The sequence below is a fragment of the Homo sapiens genome, chromosome 4 (assembly GCF_000001405.40).
Source record: "Homo sapiens chromosome 4, GRCh38.p14 Primary Assembly".
In the NCBI taxonomy this organism is placed as follows: Eukaryota; Metazoa; Chordata; class Mammalia; order Primates; family Hominidae; genus Homo; species Homo sapiens.
The window spans coordinates 128609185-128632729 of NC_000004.12; the positions used below are offsets into that span (position 1 = coordinate 128609185).

Sequence of the window (23545 nt, forward strand, 5' to 3'; positions counted from 1 at the left end):
TTTAGTTCTAACAAAATATAGCTGGAGGTTCTGTCATAAGATTAATAAACATACATTATTTGGGAGGTTATTTATTATTTTAATTATGTGACATTATTTTTCCCCTCTGACAAAAGCAATCAAGATGACTAAAATTGAATTGGTGAAAATGAACTGATCCCCAAAGGTTATAAATGTTGTTGAAAAATGTCAGGAATTTATTAAATTTCCCACATGTTAACCAAAAAAGGTTAGTAAGGTAGATACACAGTGGTGACTTCATGTCAGTGAAGAATCTGACTAGAAGTAGACAGAATTCTAGAGATAAATTCATCAAATCCTCTACTCTATAGATCAGGAAACTGACACTTAGGTTAGGTGCAGTGACCATTTCCAGTGACTTTGACCTTTACTGACAAAATGTCAGGGAAGACTTAGTACCACAGGCCAGGCACAGTGGCTCATGCCTATAATCCCAGCACTTTGGGAGGCCAAGGTGAGTGGATTGCCTGAGCTCAGAAGTTCGCGACCAGCCTGGGCAACATGGTGAAACCACATCTCTACAAAAAATACAAAAATTAAACAGGCATGGTGGCATATGGATGTAGTCCCAGCTACTTGGGGGGCTGATGTGGGAGGATTGCTTGAGCCTGGGAGGTTGAGGCTGCAGTGAGCCAAGATCATGCCACTGCACTTCAGCCTGGGTGACAGAGCGAGACCCTGTTTCCAAAAGAAAAACAAACAAACAAAACAAAAAACAAAGACTTAGTACCAGGAACCAGATGGAATGACAATAATATTGTAAACATTAAATCTCCAATATCACATAATTATAGGGTCTTAGACTTCAACTTACTATAGGACTGTCTGGTCCAGTGTTGAAATCCTCTTGCAGATGGTTATCTGCTCTTCCTTGACTACATGCCTTGACTGGATGTTGTATTCTTCCATGGCAGTTCATTCTGTTATGCAGTAGCTGTTTATGTTGGAAATTCTTTACACTGAGCTGGTGTTATCCCTACAATTTCACCTATGGGTTCTGACTTCTTGAGCTGAGATCTGCAAGAGTTAGCCCATGACAATTATATTTGCTCTAATTCTCTTCTTTTCCAGGTAAGACACCTCTAATTCTCAGAGTTGCATGTCATATATGAGGAAAAGTGAAGTAAAAAAAGAGGAGAAAAAATAATGTGTTGTGGGCAATTACTAGAACTCAGGGAGTTAGGTTTTACTCAGCATCATCAAATGCAAGCTTCTCATCCTTTTGAGTCAGCAGCATGTCCTTATCAGTCCCTAAGTGAGCTCTGCAAATCAAGAATTCTGGTTGCAGTGTACACTTAATTTTTAAATTGTAAAAAGAACTAGCTAGCTTGGGCATGGTGGCCTATGCTTATAACTTCAGCACTTCGGGAGACTTAGGTGGAAGGATTGCTTGAGCTCAGGAGTCTAAGACAAGCCTGGGCAACATAACAAGACACCATCTCTACAAATAATATAAAAAATTAGGCAGGTGTGGTGCCACATGCCTGTAGTCCCAGCTACTCAGGAAGCTGAAGCAGGAAGATGGCTTGAGCCTGGGAGATCAAGGCTGCAGTGAGCTGTGATTGTGCTACTGCGCTCCAGCCTGAGCAACAGAACAATACCCTGTCTTACACATACACAAAAAAGAACTAGCTCTACTGAAAAAATAGAACAATTGGCCAAGTGTGGTGGCTCACCCCTGTAATCCCAGCACTTTGAGAGGCTGAGGCAGGCAGATCGCCTGAGGTCAGGAGTTCGAGACCAGCCTGACCAACATGGAGAAACCCCGTCTCTACTAAAAATACAAAATTAGCTGGGCATGGTGGTGGCGGGCACCTGTAATCCCATCTACTCGGGAGGTTGAGGCAGGAGAATCGCTTGAACCCAGGAGGCAGAGATTGCAGTGAGCCAAGATCGCGCCACCGCACTCCAGCCTGGGCAACAAGAGAGAAACTCTGTCTCAAAAAAAAAAAAAAAAGAGAACAATTATAACACAAAGGGGAGTAATAGAATCCAATGGAATAAAAATTTACACTTTTTATTTGTAAAAAGTCTGAGATCACTAAGTTAATATAAGAATCTCTAGACTTCATATTGTGCTAAAACATAATAGTGCTCAAAACATTGCAGCTTTGTTATAAAAAATAAAATTCTTAGTTGTTATTTAACTCTATCCTTAAATAAAGAAAAAAAACCCATTTCTTTCCACCTCTTCAAATATTAAAATTCCAGGAAACAACTGATATGCTAGGATATTCTTAGCTAAGATTTAAATTAGATTTGGGAAAGTTGTGCATGTGTCATTTTCAATGGTTCGTAGAGCATAAAAGCACAAATTTACTTTGATTTTTGATTCTAATTTGAATCCTAGAAGGAACTGTTTTATTTTCTAGAAAATCTAGTACATGGATAGTGTTTATTTAAATATGTACAAATATAAATGTCCTCATGAGTTCAAAGTATAAAATAAGTATAAAATAAGTATATTTTTTAAACCAAAAGGCAGATGAACATACACACTGTGATGGTTAGTACTCAATGTCAACTTGATTGGATTGAAGGATACGAAATATTGATCCTGGCTTTGTCTCTGAGGGTGTTGCCAAAGGAGATTAACATTTGAGTCGGTGGGCTGGGAAAGGCAGACCCATCCTTAATCTGGGTGAGCACAATTGAATCAGCTGCCAGTGCAGCTCAAATAAAAAGCAGGCAGAAAAGATGTGAAGAGAGACTGGCCTACCCTCGCAGCCAACATCTTTCTCCTGTGCTGGATGATTCCACGCCTCAAACTCCAAATTCTTCAGTTTTGGAAGTCAGACTGGCTCTCCTTGCTCCTCAGCCCGCAGACAGCCTATTGTGGGACCTTGTGATCATGTGAGTTAATACTGAAAAAACTCCCCTTTAAATAGATATATCTATTCCATTAGTTCTGTTCCTCTAGAGAACTCTAATACATACGCTCATCTGACAAACCTAGCCATAACAAAGCTACAGAGATTCTGATGTTTGTTCAGAGACCGATTTACCTTTAGACAAAAGTATTTTTAAAACACAGTCTAAAAATCAGAGATAAATCAATTTGAATGGAATTTTGTTACTTACAAATTGCTTTGAGTCTGGTGGGATTTTCAAATTCTGACCCTAACTAGATTTGGCTCTATGTAAATTTGTAGTTAAAAGGTTTCACTCTGTATGGGTCTATAATCATTTATTTACCCATATATTACATGTCTTTTTGCCTGAGGAGGACTGAAAAAAAATGGACTTTATTTATTAGACTGCCCACGAGAAGAGTAAGTCCAGTGAAAACATTTTTGTTAAGCCTTTCCCATTTGTTTGCTAGGATAATAGTGATGTTAAACTTGAGAGTTGTATGTACATGCATGTTTAAATCAAATTTGGTAATTAGGTTGTTTTATACAATGATCATTGAATTTGCTTAATGCCCACTGCATGCTAGGCATTTGCAAAGTGTTGGAAGAGATTTAAAGACAAATAAGATAGTTCTTATTCCACATTGTGATTGCTGAAACTGATACCTGAAGAAATAATTATGATACAGCACGGTATCTTATAAGATATACAAATTGTTGTTGTAATATAAAATAACTTATTAGGCTGGGCATGGTGGCTCACACCTGTAATCCTAGCACTTTGGGAGGCCACGGTGGGTGGATCACAAGGTCAAGAGATCAAGACCATCCTGGCCAATATGGTGAAACCCCGTCTCTACTAAAAATACAAAAATTAGCTGGGCATGGTGGTACACATCTGTAGTCCCAGCTACTTGGGAGGCTGAGGCAGGAGAATCACTTGAACCTGGGAGGTGGAGGTTGCAGTGAGCCGAGATTGCACCACTGCACTCCAGTCTGGCAACAGAGTGAGACCCCGTTTCAAATAATAATAATAACTTATTGTAGGTTGGTTACGGTGGCTCATGCCTATAATCCCAGCACTGTGGGAGGCCGAGGTGGATGGATAACCTGAAGTCAGGTGTTTGAAACCAGCCTGGCCGACATGGCAAAACCCCGTCTCTACTAAAAATACAAAAATTAGCGGGGCATGGTGGTGGGTGCCTGTAATCCCAGCTACTCCGGAGGCTGAGGCAGGAGAATTGCTTGAACCCAGGAGGTGGAGGTTGCAGTGAGCCAATATCGAACCACTGCACTCCAGCCTGGGCAACAGAGTGGGGCTTTGTCTCAAAATAAATAAATAAATAAAATAAAATAACTTACTATAATATGGTAGAAAGATTCAAATAGAAGTTCCATGTAGAGTGAAGACTTTAAAACTGTACTGAATGATGCAAGAATTTTTAAAAGTGAAAAGAAAGTTATGAGACAAAATTACCCAACTCTTTCCAGACCTTTTATTTTGCACATTTCTGATTAAACAAAGCATATTGTGTCTCTCTCTAGTTTTCTGAGCACCTCAACTTTGCTTAAAACTTTCTAAAAGATTTTTCAGAGAACTTCATGGAAGAGATCATTTTGAGCTGAGCCTTGAGGAAATGAGGATTTTCTGAGCAGGAAGGAAGCTGAACACCATTCCAAATATAAGAAACTAGAGGTGCAAAGGCAGAGAGGTGTACTCTGGGGAATGGGAAGCGTTGGGCTGCTTATTGGGGTGTGAGAAAGGAAATAGTAGCAGGTGCAGCCAGAAAGGAGCCAGAGCCAGGCTATGAAGGGTCTACTAAACATCCTCAGACAACAGAGAAAGGACGGAACATTTTTTGTTTTGTTTTATTTTTTACTTTTATTTGTAAATAATTTCCAGTTTACAGAAAAGTTGAAAGTATGAATAGTATATGGAATGCCTGTATATCCTTTATCCAGATTCACCTATTGTTAATACTTTATCCTACTTGCTTTTTTGTTTGATCTCTCTCTCCTTTTTATTATAAATACATATATGTATGTGTGTGCACATATATATGTACATATACACACACACACAGAATTGTTTCTATACCATTTGAAAATAAATTGGATGAATCATTATGACCTTCTTCTAAATATCTCTGTTCTTTTTTCCTAAAAATAGGGCTATTCTCTTCTTAACCACAGAATAGTTATCAACTTTAGTAAATTTAACCCTAATAAAATACTTTTTATCTACCCTGGAATTCATATGCCAATTTTGTCAATTAAAGCAATATCTGTTATGGTATTTTTCCCCCTTCAAGAACAGGATCAAGTCTAACCTAAAGTATTGTACTTAGTTGTCATGTCCATTTACTATTTTAATGTAGAACAGTCCTGAAGCCTGTCTGTGACTTTTATGATGTTGACATTTTTTAAATAACATAGTCCCCCTTTTAAAAAAAAAAAAAATAGAACAATTCTTCAGAAAGGCCCTGGGGAAGAGGAAAAGCTTTTCTAGCAATTGATGTCAGCAACCCACCAAGGAACCAGTGGAAGAAATCTAAGATGGCTGACTAAATGCGGCTAGTACACAGCTCTTCTGTGGAGAGGAAAAAAAATGGCAAGTAGATATTCACACTTCAAATAGATCATCTAAGAGAAAACACTAGAATTCAACAGGAAAGTGGTAGGAAGCATCAAAAGCAAAGAAGGAGAGGGAGGCAGGGCAACCTACTGGGTCAAGATCAGCTGGAAGCTGAGAAAACCTCCCTTAAATAGGGAAAGGGTAAGTGAATGACCCCCAGGGCTCCACATTCCCACCATGGACTTCTACATTCCTAGCCACAGGAAAGCACCTTGACCTTCTTGGGCTTCAGACGAACATACAGAGCTACTTAGAGATTGTGTAGAGGCACTACTTTAGAAAGAACACTCACACTGAGTCCCACAGGCTTCTGAGCCCCAAGCAACTGCCACATGGCACCATTCTGAGCACTCAGCCCCCAGAAGACTGTCAAAGAAGAGAGGAGGATGGCACTTTTACACACACCAACGACAAATCTTACTTCCTCCTCTGCCACAGTCTGTTGTTGGACCAAAAGGTGAGAGAACTGCACATCCCATAGCTGCCTTCCTAAACTGCTCTCACTGAGAGTGGCCCCATCCTCCTCAGAGACAGGCCCACAGCACAGCCACCACTGCCCCTACCTGAGCATTCTGCCAACAGCCTGGGGACCACCTGCCTTTGCCTATTATAACCAGTGATGGAACACACTACCAGAGAGCCTGAAGTCCACTATCCTGGTCCTGTCCTCCAGTTCTCAAGCATGCTGTCCAAGGGCCTGGAGGTTGCCCTGCCCAGCCACTGTTGGCAGCTGAACACTGTTGGCAGCTGAATACTTCTCAAGTGCCATTCAAAACTTCATGTATCAGTAATAACTTTAAATGTAAATGGATTAAATTATCCACTTAATATGTATAAAGTGGCTGAATGGATAAAGAAAAAATATCCAATTATATGCTGCCTACAAGAAATATACTTTATCTGCCAAGACACATATAAACTTAAAGTAAAGAAATGGAAAAAAAATATTACACAAAATGAAAACCAAAAGCAAGCAGGAGTAGCTATACTTATATCAGATAAAACAAACTTTGAGTCAAAAACAGTAAACAAACAAACAAAACCAAAGAAAGTCACTATACAGTGATAAAGGGAGCAATCCAGCAAAATGAAATAACAATTCTGAAAACATATGCACTCAGCACTGGAGCACCCAGATTTGAAAAGCAAATATTACTAGATCTAAAGAGAGAAAAACATTCCAATAAAACAATAGTGGGGGAGTTCAACACCCTACTCTCAGCATGAGATAGATCATCTAGATGGAAAAATCAACAAAGAAGCAGTGGATTTAATCTGCGCTTTAAACCAAATGGACCTAACAGATATTTACAGAACATTTTATCCAACAACTACAGAATATACATTCTTCTCATCAGCACATGGAATGTTTTTCAGGATAGCCCATATATTAGGCCACAAAACAAGTCTCAACTTTTTTTAAAATCAAAATTATATCAACTGTCTTCTCAGACTACAGTGGAATAAGACTAGAAATTAATACCAACAAGAATTTTGGAAACTATAAAAATACATGGAAATTAAACAACACAGTCCTGAACAACCATTGACTCAACAAAAAAGTAAGATGGAAATAAAAAATATTCTTGAAACAAATGAAAATAGAAACACAGCATATCAAAATCTATGGGATACAGCAAAAGCAATGCTAAGTGGAAAGTTTATAGCAATAAACACCTAAATCAAAAAAATGGAGGCTGGGCTCAGTGGCTCATGTCTGTAATCCCAGCACTTTGGGAGGCTGAGATGGGCAGATTGCTTGAGCCTAGGAGTCTGAGATCAGCATGGGCAACATGGCGAAACCATGTCTCTACAAAACATACAAAAAATTAGCTTGGTGTGGTGGTGCACACTTGAGTACCAGCTACCCAAGAGACTGAGGTGGGAGGATTGCTTGAGCCAAGGAGAGAGAGGTTGCAGTGACCTGAGATCATGCCACTCTACTGCACTTCAGCCTGCACAAGAGAGTGAGACCCTGTCTCAAAAAAAAAAAAAAAAAATCAGGATCAGGTGCAGTGGCTCATGCCTGTAATCCCAGCACTTTGGAAGGCTGAGGTGGGTGGATCACCTAAGCTCAGGAGTTCGAGACCCGGGCAATGTAGTGAAACCCCGTCTCTACCAAAATATACAAAAATTAGCCAGGCATGGTGGCACACACCTGTAGTCTCAGCTACTCTGGAGGCTGAGGTGGGAGGATCGCTTGATCTGGGAGACAGAGGTTGCAGTGAGCCAAGGTTGCACCACTGCACTCCAGCCTGTGTGACAGAGTGAGACCCCATCTCAAAGAAAAAAAAAAAGAGAAGGATTTCAAATAAAAACCTAAGGAGACATCTCAAGGAACTAGAAAAGTGAGAATATATGAAACTCAAAATTAGTGAAAGAGTAATAAAGATCAGGGCAGAACTAAATAAAACAGAGTCTAAATGAAAAAAATACAAGGCCGGGCATGGTGGCTCACGCCTGTAATCCCAGCACTTTGGACGGCTGAGGCAGGCAGATCATGAGGTCAGGAGATTGAGACCATCCTGCCTAACATGGTGAAACCCCATCTCTGCTAAAAAAAACTTAGCCGGGCGTGGTGGCGGGTGCCTGTAGTCCCAGCTACTCAGGAGGCTGAGGCAGGAGAATGGCGTGAACCTGGAGGCAGAGCTTGCAGTGAGCCAAGATCGCGCCACTGCACTCCAGCCTGGGCAACAGAGCAAGACTCTGTCTCAAAAAAAAATAAATAAATAAATAAATAGGCCAGGCGTGGTGGCTCAAGCCTGTAATCCTAGCACTTTGGGAGGCAGAGGTGGGTGGCTCATGAGGTCAGGAGTTTGAGACCATCCTGGCCAACATGGTGAAACCCCGTCTCTACTAAAAACAAACAAAAAAATAGCCGGGCGTGGTGGCGGGCGCCTGTAGTCCCAGCTACTCGGGAGGCTGAGGCAGGAGAATGGCGTGAACCCAGGAGGCAGAGCTTGCAGTGAGCCAAGATGGCGCCACCGCACTCCAGCCTGGGGGACAGAGCGAGACTCTGTCTCAAAAAAAAAAAAAAAAAAATCATAATAATACAAAGGATCAATGAAACAGTTGTTTTTTTAAAAAAGATAAAATTGATAAACCGCTAGCTGAAGACCCAAATAAAATTAGAAATGAAAAAGAAGACATTACAACTATACAACTGATACCATAGAAATACAAAAGATCATCAGAGACTTTTATAAACAACCATACATTAACACACTGGAAAGCCTAGAGGAAATGGATGTATGTTCCTAGAGGAAATGGATGTTTCTGAAAACATACACCCGACCAAGATTGAATCAGGAGGAAATCAGAAACTTGAATAGACCAATTATGAATAGCAAAGTTGAATCAGTTATAAAAAATTTCCCAATAAAGAAAAGCTCAGGACTGGATGGATTCATAGCCAATTCATATCAAATGTATAAAGAAGAACTAATACCAATCCTCCTGAAACTATTCCAAAAAATTAAAGACAAAGGAACTCCTCCTAACTCATTCTGTGGGGTCAGTGTTACCCTGATACCAAAACTAGACAGCACAACAGAAAAAAGAAAACTACCGGCCAATATCCCTGATTAACATAGACACAAAAATTCTCAACAAAATACTAGCAAACAGACTCTGACAACAGATCAAAAGGTAATGCAACATGATTAAGTGGGAATTATACCAGAGACACAAGGATGGTTCAACATATGCAAATTAATAAACAACACACATCACATCAAAAGAATGAAGGACAAAAACCATATGATTATCTCAATAGATGCAGAAAAGGCATTTGATAAAATTCAACATCCCTTCATAATAAAACTCAACTAGGCATAGAAAGAACATGCCTCAAGGCGAGGTGTGGTTCACGCCTGTAATCCCAGCACTTTGGGAGGCTGAGATGGGCGGATCACAGGGTCAGGAGATTGAGACCATCCTGGCCAACATGGTGAAACCTCGTCTCTACTAAAAATAAAAAATAAAAATAAAAAAATTAGCTGGGTGTGGTGATGTGCACCTGTAGTCCCAGCTACTAGGGAGGCTGAGGCAGGAGAATCGCTTGAACCCAGGAGGCAGAGGTTGCAGTGAGCCGAGATTGTGCCACTGCACTCCACACTACAGCCTGGTGACAGAACAAGATGACTCCATCTCAAAAAAAAAAAAAAAAAAAAAAAAAGAAAGAACGTACCTCAAAATAATAAAGACCACATACAACAAACGCACAGCTAACATCATACTGAATGGGGAAAAGCTGAAAGCCTTTCCTCTAAGATCTGGAACAAGACAAGGATGCTCACTTTCACCACTCCTATTCAAGATCGTTGCCAGAACAATCAGGCAAGAGAAAGAAATAAAAGGGATCCAAATTGGAAAAGAGGAAGTCAAATTGTCCTTCTTTGCCAATGATATGATCTTATATCTAGAAAAATCTAAAGATTTCACCAAAAAAACTCCTAGATTTGATAAACACATTCAATAAAATTGCAGGATACAAAAATCAATATACAAAAGTCAGTAGCATTTCTGTACACCAATAATGAACAACGGGAGAAGGAAATCAAGAAAGCAATCTCATTTACAATAGCTACAAAAAAAAAATGCCTAGGAATAAATTTAACCAAGGTGAAAGATCTCTACAAGGAAAACTACAAAACACTGATGAAAGAACTTGAAGAGGACACAAACAAATAAAAAGTCATCCCATGCTCATGAATCAGAATAACTAATATCATTAAAACAACCATACTGCCCAAAGCAAACTACAGATTCAATGAAATCTCTACCAAAATACAAATGTTGTTTTTCACAGAATTAGAAAAAACAATCTTAAAATATTCATGGAACCAATAAAGCGTCAGAATAGCCAAAGTAACCCTGAACAAAAAGAACAAAGCTGAGCCAGGTGCAGTGGCTCACACCTATAATCCCAACACTTTGGGAGGCTGCAGTGGGCGGATCATGAGGTCAGGAGTTTGAGACCAGCCTGACCAACATGGTGAAACCCCATCTCTACTAAAAATACAAAAATTAGCCAGGTGAGGTAGCACGTGTCTGTAATCCCAGGTACTCAGGAGGCTGAGGCAGGAGAATTGCTTGAGCCCAGGAGGTGGAGGTTGCAGTGAGCCAAGATTGCGCCACTGCACTCCAGCCTGTGTGACAGAGCAAGACTCCATCAAAAAAAAAAAAAAAAAAAGTGGGCAAAAGACATGAATAGACATTTATCAGAAGAAGACATACAAATGGCCAACAGAAATATGAAAAAATGCTCAAAATCACTAATCATCAGGGAAATGCAAATCAAAACCACAATGAAATACCATATTACGCTGGTTAGAATGGTTATTACTAAAAAGACAAAAAATAACAAATGCTGGCAAGAATGTGGAGTAAAGGGAACTCTGACAGACTTTTGATGGGAATGTAAATTAGTACAACCAATGTGGAAAACAGTATGGACATTTCTCAAAAAACTAAAGATAGAACTACTGTATGATCCAGCAATCCCACTGCTGGGTGCTTATCCAAGGAAAAGAAGTCTGTACGTCAAAGGAATACCTGCACTGTCATGTTCATCATGGCACTATTCACAATAGCAAAGATATGGAATCAACCTAATTGTCCATCAATAGATGAATTGATAAAATGTACTCTGTAAAAACGCACCAATCAGCGCTCTGTGTCTAGCTAAAGGTTTGTAAATGCACCAATCAGCACTCTGTAAAAACGCACCAATCAGTGCTCTGTGTCTAGCTAAAGGTTTGTAAACGCACCAATCAGCACTCTGTGAAAACGGACCAGTCAGCACTCTGTAAAATGGACCAATCAACACTCTGTGAAATGGACCAATCAGCAGGACATGGGTGGGGCCAAATAAGGGAATAAAAGCTGGCCACCGGAGCCAGCAGGGGCAACCCGCTAGGTCCCCTTCCATGCCATGGAAAGCTTTGTTCTTTTGCTTTTCACAGTAAATCTTGCTGCTGCTGAAAAAAAAAAAAAAAAAGGAAAGGAAGAAAATGTGCTATATATACACAATGGGATACAATTAAGCTATAAAAAAGAATTAAATCATGTTATTTGCAACAGCATGGCTGGTACTAGAGGTCATTATGTTGAGTGAGATAAGCCAGGCCCAGAAAGACAGATACTGCATTTTCTCACTCATATGTGAAAGCTGAAAAAAAAGATCTCATGGACATAAAGAACAGAATAGATACAGCAGCTGGGAAGGGTGTATGGGTGGGAAGGGGGGATAGAGAGAGGTTGATGGGCAAAAACATAATGGCTGATTAGAAGAAATAACCCCCAATGTTCAGTGGCAGAGCAGGATGACTACAGTTACCAACAATGTATTGTATATTTCAAAGTAGCTAGAACAGAGAACTTGAATTTTTTTTTTTTTTTTTTTTTGAGACAGTGTCTCCCTCTGTCGCCCAGACTGGAGTGCAGTGGCATGATCTTGGCTCACTGCAACCTCCGCCTCCCATGTTCAACTGATTCTCCTGCCTCAGCCTCCCGAGTAGCTGGGATTACAGGCATGCACCACCATGCCCGGCTAATTATTTGTATTTTTAGTAGAGACGGGGTTTCACCATATTGGCCAGGCTGGTCTGGAATTCCTGACCTTAGGTGACCCGCCTGCCCCGGCCTCCCAAAGTGCTGGGATTGCAGGCATGAGCCACCACACCTGGCCGAGAACTTAAAATCTTACCAACGCATAGAAATGATACTCTTGGGAGGCCAAGGCGGGCAGATCATTTGAGGTCAGGAGTTTGAGACCAGCCTGACCAACATGGTAAAACCCTGTCTCTACTAAAAATACAAAAAAAAATTAGTCGAGCGTGGTGGCGCATGCCTGTAGTCCCAGCTACTTGGGAGTCTGAGGCAGGAGAATCAGTTGAACATGGGAGGCGGAGGTTGCAGTGAGCTGAGAACGCACCATTGCACTCCAGCCTGGGCAACAGACTGAGATTCTGTCTCAAAAAAAAAAAAAAAAAAAAAAAGAGATAAATACTCAAAAGTGATGGCTATCCTAAATACCTTGACTTGATCATTACACATCCTATGCAAATACTCACATGTACCCTACAAATATGTAAAATATTTTGTATCAATGAATAATAATAGGCCAGACGTGGTGGCTCACACCAGTAATCCCAGCTCTTTGGGAGGCCAAAGCGGAAGGATCACTTGAGGTCAGGAGTTCAAGACCAGCCTAGGCAACATAGTGAGACCTGGTCTCTAAAAAAATTTAAAAATTAGCTGAAGGTGATGGCTGACACCTGTATTCTCAGCTACTCAGGAGGCTAAGGGAGGAGGTTCACTCAGGCCTAGGATTTCAAGGTTGCACTGAGCTATGATAGCCCCACTATACTCCAGCCTGGGTGACAAAGCAACATCCTGTCTCTAAATAAATACATAAATAAAAATTTAAAAATATATAATAATAGAATAGTTCTCATTTTAGTGCAGAGGTTTTTATGCAGGGGACGGCATACTCAGATCTGGGTTTTAGAAAAAGTCATTCTACAGGCAATGTTAAGGATGGACCTGAAAACAAGAGACTGTTGCCATGGCAATGAGATAGGAAGCTCTTGTTGGCCAATATTCCCTTCTGGACAGGCATAGGTATAGAGCCGGCCTTGGCCAGGATCTCTGTAAGCTGGGGCAGGTATGTGAATGAAGGGAAAGGAAACCAAAGTCTGAGTTCTGGGTAAGGTTGCTGGAGGAAGAAAAGAACAATCTAAAATGCCAAGTCCAGGCCAGGCATGGTGACTCACTCCTGTAATCTCAGCACTTTGGGAGGCCGAGGTGGGAGGATCACCTGAGGTGAGGAGTTTGAGACTAGCCTGGCCAACATGGTGAAACCTCGTCTCTACTAAAAATACAAAAAGATTAGCTGGGCCTGGTAGCGGGTGCCTGTAATCACAGCTACTCAGGAGGCTGAGGCAGGGGAATTGCTTGAACTCAGGAGATAGAGGCTTCAGTGAACCGAGATCACGCCATTGCACTCCAGCCAGGGCAACAAGAGCGAAACTCCGTCTCAAAAAATAAAATAAAATAAAATAAAATAAAATAAAATAAAATAAAATGCCAAGTCGACGGGGGTTGGTAGAGAAGCAAGATCCAGATCTAAAACAGCAGGCTTGGATTTGGAATTATAGCAGAAGATAGATCAGGTAACCCAAAGATGCTTCTGAAAAAATAGCATCAAATGCATAGCTGAGTTTACAAATAAAGTAAATCCCCAGGAACTTAAAATTAAGAGAGAAGAAAAACTAAAAAGTTAGATATAAACTATATATTTACAAACATGATGGGTTTCCTGGTCTTAATATGATGTATGAAAACTCACATGGATTAATTAAATTAGGCCTTGGGTTTTAGTGAAGCAGAGAATTGGAGCTGGGGCCCATGCGTAGCACCAGAATCATTAATGACTTCAACCTTCATAAAAGAAAAAAAATCAATTATAGGCACTAGGAGATAATAAGGTAACTTGCCTGTCTTGGCCTGGGGTTTGGATGGAGTGGAGGAAAGCCTCATGTAGTATATTAGGAGTCTCCAGAGGGACAGAAAATAGGACATATATATATATATATATCCTATGAGCTTATTAAGGAGAACTGGCTCCCACGATTACAAAGCAAAGTCCCATGATAGACAGTCTGCAAGCTGGGGAAAGAAAGACAAGCCAGGAGCATGGTTCAGTACAAGTTGGAAAGCCTTAAAATCAGCGAAGCCAACAGTGCAGCCCTCAGTCTGAGGCCAAACGCCCGCGAACCCCTGGGAGACCACTGAAGCAAGGCCCAGAGTCCAAAGGCCAAAGAGCCTGGAGTCTGATGCCCAAGGGCAGGAGGAGAGGAAGCAAGCATCTAGCATGGGAAAAAAGAGCAAGAAGACTCAGCAAGCTGCTTATCCCCCTTCCACCTGCTTTGTTCTAGCAGTGCTGGCAGCTGATTGCACGGTGCCCACCTACATCAAGGGTGGGTCTTCCTCTCCCAGTCAAATGTCAATGTCCGCTGGCAACACCCTCACAGACACACCCAGAAACAGTACTTCACTAGCCATCTAGGCATCCCTCAAATCCAGTCAAGTTGACACCATCACATGTAGGTTTGGACTTGAATTTATACCTCTGAATGGTCTAAGAATCACCCTAGAAATCAACATCAAAGGAAGTCAGTGACAACATAGGTTTGCCTGGTGGACGTGAATGAAAAACTGTTTTGGTGGGACATACCTTCATAATAATCCATATGAGATTTCTACAAATAAAGCCTGGCTGTGAATTAACTCAAACGGAAACTATAAAACACATGTGGGGAATGAGGAAATCTGCCATAAGCAAGAATCCACAAAGACAACAAAGAGCATAATTCATTCTCAATAACTTTAGATAATCTAACTACTAAGGTCTATAAAGCAAGCATTTAAAACTGATTAAAAACATAAAAAGAAGTAATCTAAATCATAAGAAAAGAATAGGATTCTTTGGGAAAATAGAAAAATTTGAAATAAGATATGAACAATATAGAACTTCTAGAGATACAAAATATAGTTGTTTAATTTGAAAACTCAGTTAAATAGAAAATTATTTATAGTTAAGGCCGGGCACAGTGGGTCATGCCTGTAATCTCAGCACTTTGGGAGGCTGAGGCGGGCAGATCACTTGAGGTCAGGAGTTTGAGACCACCCTGGCCAATATGGTGAAACCCCATCTTTACTAAAAATACAAAAATTAGTTGGGCTTGGTGTCCCCCGCCTGTCATCACAGCTACTCGGGAAAATGAAGTTGGAGAATCCCTTGAACATGATAGGTGCAGGTTTTGGCGAGCCAAGATCACACCACTGCACTCCAGCCTGGGCAACTGTGTGAGACCCTATCTCAAAAAAAAAAAAAAAAAAATTACAGTTAAAAAGAGAATTAGTAAGGGCCAGGCATGGTGGCTCACACCTGTAATCCCAGCACTTTGGGAGGCCAAGGCGGGCGGATCACCTGAGGTCGGAGTTCAAGACCAGGCTGGCCAACATGGTGAAACCCCATCTCTACTAAAAATACAAGAATTAGCCAGGTGTGGTGGTGGGCACCTGTAATCCCAGCTACTTGGGAGGCTGATGCAAGAGAATTGCTTGAACCCTGGAGGCAGAGGTTGCAATGAGCCGAGATTTCGCCATTGCACTCCAACTTGGGCAAAAAGAGCGAAACTCTGTCTCAAAAAAAAAAAAAATAATAATAATAATAATAATTAGTAATGTTCTCAATACAAAGAAATGATAAATATTTGAGATGATAGATATGCCAGTTACCCTGATTTGATCATTTACAATGAAAACATGTATCGAAATATCACATTGTGCACCATAAATATATACAATTATGATTTGTCAATTAAAAATAAAGCACTGGGCATTGTGGCTCACACCTATAATCCCAGCACTTTGGAAGAGCAAGGCAGGCAGATCACTTGAGCTCAGGAGTTTGAGACCAGCCTGGGTAACATGGTGAAAACTCGTCTCTACAAAAAATACAAAAATTATCCAGTCATGGTGGCATGTTCCTGTAATCCCAGCTACTCAGGAGGCTGAGACGTTAAAATCACTTGAGCCCAGGAGGCAGAGGTTGCAGTGAACCATCATTGCACCACTGCACTCCAGCCTGGGCGACAGTGTGAGACCCTGTCAAAAAAACAAAAATAAAAAATAAATAAAATAAAGCTTTTAAAAGAAGAGAATTAGTAAATTGGAAGATAGAGAAAAGATGCCTAAAAGGTTAAGAGATCTGAAAGAATAAAAAGATCTAATTGAAATTCTGGAAAAAGAGTAGAGATAATCGGGGAGACACAATACTCAAAGAAATAATGACTGAGAATTCTTTACAATAGACATAAATTCTCAGATTCTGAAACCACAAAGGGACCCAAATGAAAATAAATATACATTTAGACACATTGTGGAGGAATTTTAAGAAAAGAAAAAAAAATCAAAGGAAAGAAATGATATTAAAAGTAGAGAGAAAAGATATTATCTTTAAATGTTCATTACACTTATGACAATAGAAGCCAAAAGACAATTAAACAATATCTTTTAAATGCTAAGAGAAAATAACTATTAAGCTATAAATCCATATCCTGATAATCATTAAACAGCAAGAGGGAAAATAATTGCTAAATATCTGTGCTATGGTTTAAATGGTTTTGTCCTCTCCAAATTTCATGTTGAACTTAATCCCCAATGCAACAGTGTTGGAAGGTGTGGCCTTTTAGGAGGTGTTTAGAGCATAAGAGCTTTGTCCTCATTAATAAATTAATGCTGCTATAAAAAGGGCTGTGGCCAGGCACTGTGGCTCCCGCCTGTAATCCCAGCACTTTGGGAGGCCAAGGTTGGCAGATCACCTGAGGTCAGGAGTTTGAGATCAGCCTGGCCAGCATAGCGAAACCCCATCTCTACTAAAAATACAAAAAATTAGCCAGGTGTGGTGGCGCGTGCCTGTAATCTCAGCTACTCCGGAGGCTGAGGGAGGAGAATCGCTTGAACCGGGCGGCAGAGGTTGCAGTGAGCCAAGATCGCACCATTGCACTCCAGCCTGGGGGACGAGCGAGACTATGTCTCAAAAAAAAGAAACAAACAAACAAACAAACAAACAGAAAAAGGGCTTGTGGCACTGGGTTTGCTCTCTGCTGCTCCTCTGCCATGTGAGGACACAGTGTTCCTCCCAACTGGAGGATGCAGCATTCAAGGACCATCTTGGAAACAGAGAGATCAGACCCTAACCGTCTGGCATCTTAATCTTAAATGTCCCAGCCTCCAGAACTGTGAGAAATAAAATTTTGTTCTTTATGAATTATCCAGTCTCAGGTATTCTGTTATCACAACATAAATGAACAAATGAAAACAGTGTGACTGAGTAAATATATTACTGAAAAACTCATTAAATTACAATGTCTAATTTGGGATTAATAGAGAGAAAGAACTAAAATTACATGTTAAACTGAAAGAGATGATCAAAGTCAAAGAAACCTGAGGTTCTGAGGTTTATAAAGTAGGTAGAGAAATTGATTATCTTTCATTTAAGTATATATATTAAAAAATTTAAGGATAAACATTAAGAGAATAGTTATAGGGCATATACTATCCAAAAGATTAGGGTGGAGAGAATAGGAAAATAATGTGGTTGATCCAAAGGAAAGCTAGAAAAAAAATTTTTTTAAACATAGAGAAAATAAGCAAAGAAAGAACCCAAAACAAGACAAGAGAAATAACTCTATCAGAAATCATAATACATGTAAAAGGACTAAATTCCCCAGTTAAAAGAGAGAGATTCTCAATTGGATTAAGAAAAAAGGTATCAGCTTTACACTCTTTAAGAGGTATACCTGTCGCCGGGCACGGTGGCTCACGCCTGTAATCCCAGCACTTTGGGAGGCCGAGACGGTCGGATCACAAGGTCAGGAGATCAAGACCATCCTGGCTAACACGGTGAAACCCTGTCTGTACTAAAAATACAAAAAATTAGCCAGGCGTGGTGGCAGGTGCCTGTAATCTCAGCTACTCAGGAGACTGAGGCAGGAGAATGGCGTGTACCTGGGAGGCAGAGCTTGCAGTGAGCTGAGATCGTGCCACTGCACTCCTGCATTCCAGCCTGGGTGACAGAGCCAGACTCCACTCAAAATAAAAAAAAAAAAAAAGAGGTATATCTAAAATTTAAGAGCTTAGACAATTTGAAGTAAAAAAAAAAAAAAAGGAACATGAAAAAACAGGCAAATTCTAACCAGAAGAAAGCTGACTTCTCTAAATTAATATCAAACAAAATGTTATTTAAGGAAGGAAATACCATTAGGGATTAAATAATAAAAGGAGCAATTCCCAGGATGATATAACAAGTTCAAATTTAAATGGGGCTCATAACATAGCTTTAAATTATATAAAGCAAAAATGTACAGAGTTGTACTGTGGGCGAAAGTACAAAAACAAGTAATAAACAAGTTGAATTTGAGATGGGTACCTGTGAAACTTCCAGTTAGAGATGTTAAAGATGTTGGACATAATTGATCTGCATCTCCAGAGAGTGGTCAAAGTGAGAGTTAAAAATGTACAGGTAGTAGAATGTATTACTCCAAATTTAAAAGAGTCTGAGCTTCTCAAGGAGAATTATGTATTCAAGTTTCAAGTCCCTCATGACTATCACAGACCCTTATAAAAGTAGTGCTCAATAAAGGTTAAATTGAACATATCCTCATAGATACTGATTTTATTTAGGATGTACACACTTTCAGCACTTGAGATTAATATTTATTCAATGAATAAGAAACCATAAGAAAGGAAACTATAAGAAAGATTTGAGACATGATTTCTGCCTTTAGGAATATTTTAATTTGGTTGGGAGATTAAAACAAACAATGCTTTGAAAAATTAAGAAGCAATAATCAATTGTCCATCATCGAGTTTTAGCTGCTGTTGTATTTAGGTGAGAAGAAAGTTTAACAGAGACTTGAAATGCTAGAGAAAGCTCTAAATAGGTGGAATTTTAGTTGGTCCTTGAAAAATGCACATCTTTGGGAAAAAAGAGAAAGAGAACATTTTAGTTTGAGGAATTGGCATGGATAAAGGCTTAGAAGCTGGAGTTTAGGTACATGCTTGTGTGACTTCAATGACACTCGTTTCAATGCAGTTTAAGTGCTGAGGAGTGGTAAGAAAGCTGGAGAGATCAGTCACATGGAGTCATGGAGGGTCTTAAACTAGCCAGAGATATTGGAATTGCTTTAGTAGATAACACAGAATTAAATAAGAATGCTCTTAAGTGGGTGTGACAATTTTTATTATATTTTCATGAATAATCTAGAAGTGGTGTGTCAGAGGACTTGAATGAAGGAGGGGACAGGAAGCAGGGAAACCTGTCTGGACACCTTTCAAGTAATCTAAGTCTAAACTTATTAGGTCCAGGACTAAGGGAAAACCAAGGAAATGGATAAAATGGGGTAAATTTGAGAGACATTTCAATAAGAGAAATGACAAAATTTGGCATCAGATTAGGAATCAGCACACAAAAATAGAAATAAGTCAAAGATAAGCCTAGAATAATAGTGATATCCTGGACAAATAGCTAATGTCAAGAAGAGTCAATAATTCATGAATTCATAGAAATTTAGAAACAGGAGCTTAGAAATGATATCTATAGACACCGCTTTTCAGAGATGAGGAAATTAACAGAGAGCTTGAGTGACTAGTTCCTGGTCACCCTGCCTGGGCGACAGATCGAGACTCCGTCTCAAAAAAAAAAAAAAAAAAAAAAAGAAAAGAAAAAAGAAAATAGCTAGAATCCTAGAGGATTTACCCTGGAAGCAGTTGGTTTAATGCTACCCGTGGGAGATCAATGTTGGATGGATGGATTTGGGAGCATCTGAAAGGCAGTTGGAGCCATGGGAGTGGTTGTGCTCTTCCAGTGAGAGATTATATAGGGAAGAAAAAAGAGGAGCAAAGATAAAGTCACAGGAAATATCTACAATTAGGGATTCAAACTAGAAGGAAGATGGTTCCCAAAGAAGTCAGGTAAGGATCAAACAGACGTGAGGAGTCCTCGTGCAGTGGTTACAGGCACTTTGTGGGGTTGAGGTGGGTGGATCACTTGAGGCCAGGAGTTTGAAAACAGCTTGGCCAACATGGTGAAACCCTGTCTCTACTAAGAATACAATAACCAGGTGTGGTGGTGCACGTCTGTAATCCCAGCTACTTGGGAGGCTGAGGCAGGAAAATCACTTGAACCCAGGAGGCAGAGGTTGCAGTGAGCCAGGATCGTGCCACTGCACTCCAGCCTGGGCAACAGAGCAAGGCTCTGTCTCAAAACAAACAAACAAATGAAAAAGCAGACATGAGGAACGATTAGAGGTGGCCAGAGTCAGATTCTGTGGCATGTTCCCTTATGATGAGTTCTGAGTTTTGTTATTTATTTTGCACAAAACTGAGTATCCTATGGCATTTCACTGTGAACATCACTATATACTCATCATGGTTTTTCTCTGCCAATACTTTGATATTCCGTGTCAGTTTTTTCCTTATGCATGGTCCTTTGATTATTAATGTTCAATAATATAATGAGTTAACATGAACAAATGTTTGTTTGAAACACTGACAATAATCCACCTGTGTACTACTCTCCCTCTTCCTGTCCCTGCCTTCCCACCCCCAGTGTAAGTACTACTCTTAGGATTTTTATGTAGTTTTATCACTGTAGGTATACCTACTAAATAATTTTTTAAGTTACTTTTTTTTTTTTTTTTAGATGGAGTCTCACTCTGTTGCCAAGGCTGGAGTGCAGTGGCGTGATCCCGGCTCACTGCAACCTCTGCCTCCTGGGTTCAAGCAATTCTCCTGCCTCAGCCTCCTGAGTAGCTGAGATTACAGGCATGCAACACCATACCTGGCTAATTTTTGTGTTTTTAGTAGAGACGGGGTTGCACAATGTTGGCCAGGCTGGTCTTGAACTCCTGACCTCAGGTGATTCGCCCACCTCGGTCTCCCAAAGCACTGGGATTACAGGCATGAGCCACTGTGCCTGGCCTTAAGTTACTTTTTTATGTAGAGGGGGTTTTATGTTATTAGTAATCTTTGAAACTTATGTTTTCATGCATTATGTTTTTAAGATTCATCTGTATTGTATGTAGCTGTAGTCCGTTCATTTTTGCTGCCTTATAGAATTCCATGTTTGAATGCCACATTTTATTTTCCTGTCAATCGCCGTTTAATTTCAAGTAGTTTAGGTTGATTTGAATAGTGCAACTATAAGCATACTTGGACATGTCTGCTCGTGTATATTGCAATGACTTCTATTGGGTGTATATCTATTTACACTGATCTTAAACTCCTTCTGTGAAGCATAACACATTAGAAAGGCATTAGGTGAATTTTCTGATTGTGGAAATTTGAGTCTAAAAGAATCAACAACTTTCCCTAAGGTGAATAGATTCAAATATCACCCTAGGAGCTGTGCATAGTGTGTACTCTAGATAAGGGTTAGTTACCAAATGTTTTCTTGGGGGCAAAATTATAAGCAACAGTTGGTGACTGATTTTTTTCCACTGACCCAATTTAATGTCAATGTTATTTTCAGGATACAAAAGGAAAACTGAAGGCTAGGGGCAAGGAAAGAGGTAACAGATTAACTGAAGCATTAGAATTGCTCTGCAGCTATTCCAGAAAAATTTACCTTCATCTCCTTTGAGAGTCCCCTTACTCTACCTAGCAGCCTTCCTTGCTGTGAGAGGGTGAACAATATGAACAAAAAGAAGCAAGGAAAAGGGCTCTGTCGGATTTGTTCACTCAGAACCAGTTGATAGTCTGCCAAGAAAAGTTTCTCACCCTCAAGAGGTTCTGAGCTTAAAAGTCTCTTTGTGAACACGTGAGAAAGGATCCTTCCCTGCTCAGGAATCCTGCATGTATTTATGTGTGTGTGCGTGGGCACGAAGGTTTGGAGGAAAGTGGACACTGGACTGATACAGTACTATTTTTTTGGAAGTGTTACAAACATCTTCTCGCTTACATTAAAATTGTTGCTATACCCTGAATTACAATAACCCTCTTGTTGAAACATCACTCATTTTTACTTGCAATAATCACACTTAGAAATTACACGTATTTCTCAGCCAAACAACGTAATTTCCTGCTTTAACTGAGCATCTTAGCCTTGCACCCAGTGACAAACCTCTCTACCTATTTCACATCCACCTCACAGAGTGGAAGGAAGGGAATGAAAATCTTATTATTTATGGATATAGAAATTGAGAACAATACAAAGGGGCCAATGAATCAGAGGTGCCATTCTGCCTTACAGTGGGGTCTTCTTTGCCAGGACCTCAGGCACGATTCTTGTGATCTCTGTCTTCTACTCATTTGCTGTATTCCCATTCTTCTTTTTTTCTTAGAAAACTGGTTTTTAAGAAAACATTAAAAGGCCGGTGCAGTGGCTCACGCCTGTAATCCCAGCACTTTGGGAGGCCAAGGTGTGTGGATCACCTGAGTTCAGGAGTTCAAGACCAGTCTGGCCAACATGGAGAAACCCCATCTCTACTAAAAAAAAAAAAAAAAAAAAAAAAAAAAAAAAAAAAAAAAATTAGCCAGGCGTGGTGGCAGGCGCCTGTAATCCCAGTTACTCAGGAGGCTGAGGCAGGAGAATTGCTTGAACCCGGGAGGCAGAGGTTGCAGTGAGCCTAGATCACACCATTGCACTCCAGCCTGGGCAACAGACTGAGACTCCATCTCAAAAACAACAACAACAACAAAACATTAAATAGTATACAAATGCCATGCATTTAAGTGGAACACAGTGCCAACACATTACCAATTATTCCAAGCACATACATGAAACATACATATAGAAAGTATTGTTTCCAAATTGGAATGTGCATTCTACAAGGAAATATTTAAATCAAAATGAAATAGCGGGGCTTCATCCTTCTTTGGACAGTACTTTAAAGCAGAGCAAGGAACCATAGCTCTTTTTCCTCACTGTATCAAATGAGGATGCATTTCCCAATTTGTTTATTCTCCCCCTCAAAGAGTGCTGGATCTAAGTTGTGCCCAATTAAGGTCTGTGCTTACAAGTACATGCCTGTAGCGTCAATGTTATTTGAAAATTCTTTATGTAAACTTATTCAGCATTTATCCAAACATAATATTAATCTTTAAGGCTTTTAGATTTAGCCCTATAAAGTACTATTATCATTGTATGTTTACCCATCTTCAGTTTCCCATAACAAAATATTCAAATTTGTCTGTAAATATGTAGAGGGTAGAAAAGGTGAATTCTTCTTGTAGAAAGAGCATTAACCGGAGCATTGCACTTCTTGTTGGGAATTAGTGCAGCAATTTTTCTGTAGATAAAAGAACCTCTTATCTTATGAAGAGCTGCATTAATTACAGCCTGAAATTCTGTTTCACGCATCCTCTTTCAGAGCCAAGGAGAGAGCAGAGAAAATGTGTGCTGTTGGAAATTTGTACTTCCATTTTCTTTTTCTTCTTGGAAAATAGCTTTTCTGAAAGGTAA

The 23545-nt window shown here is 40.0% G+C and overlaps 2 annotated features.

Annotated features, from left to right (window-relative positions):
- Nucleotides 5534-6035: an enhancer, noted in NCBI's record as "H3K27ac hESC enhancer chr4:129535873-129536374 (GRCh37/hg19 assembly coordinates)". NCBI's record gives its function as "activates a minimal SCP1, AML or CMV promoter by ChIP-STARR-seq in primed H9 embryonic stem cells {active_cell/tissue: H9 hESC(primed)}" and the evidence as "EXISTENCE:reporter gene assay evidence [ECO:0000049][PMID:30033119]".
- Nucleotides 6036-6535: an enhancer, noted in NCBI's record as "H3K27ac hESC enhancer chr4:129536375-129536874 (GRCh37/hg19 assembly coordinates)". NCBI's record gives its function as "activates a minimal SCP1, AML or CMV promoter by ChIP-STARR-seq in primed H9 embryonic stem cells {active_cell/tissue: H9 hESC(primed)}" and the evidence as "EXISTENCE:reporter gene assay evidence [ECO:0000049][PMID:30033119]".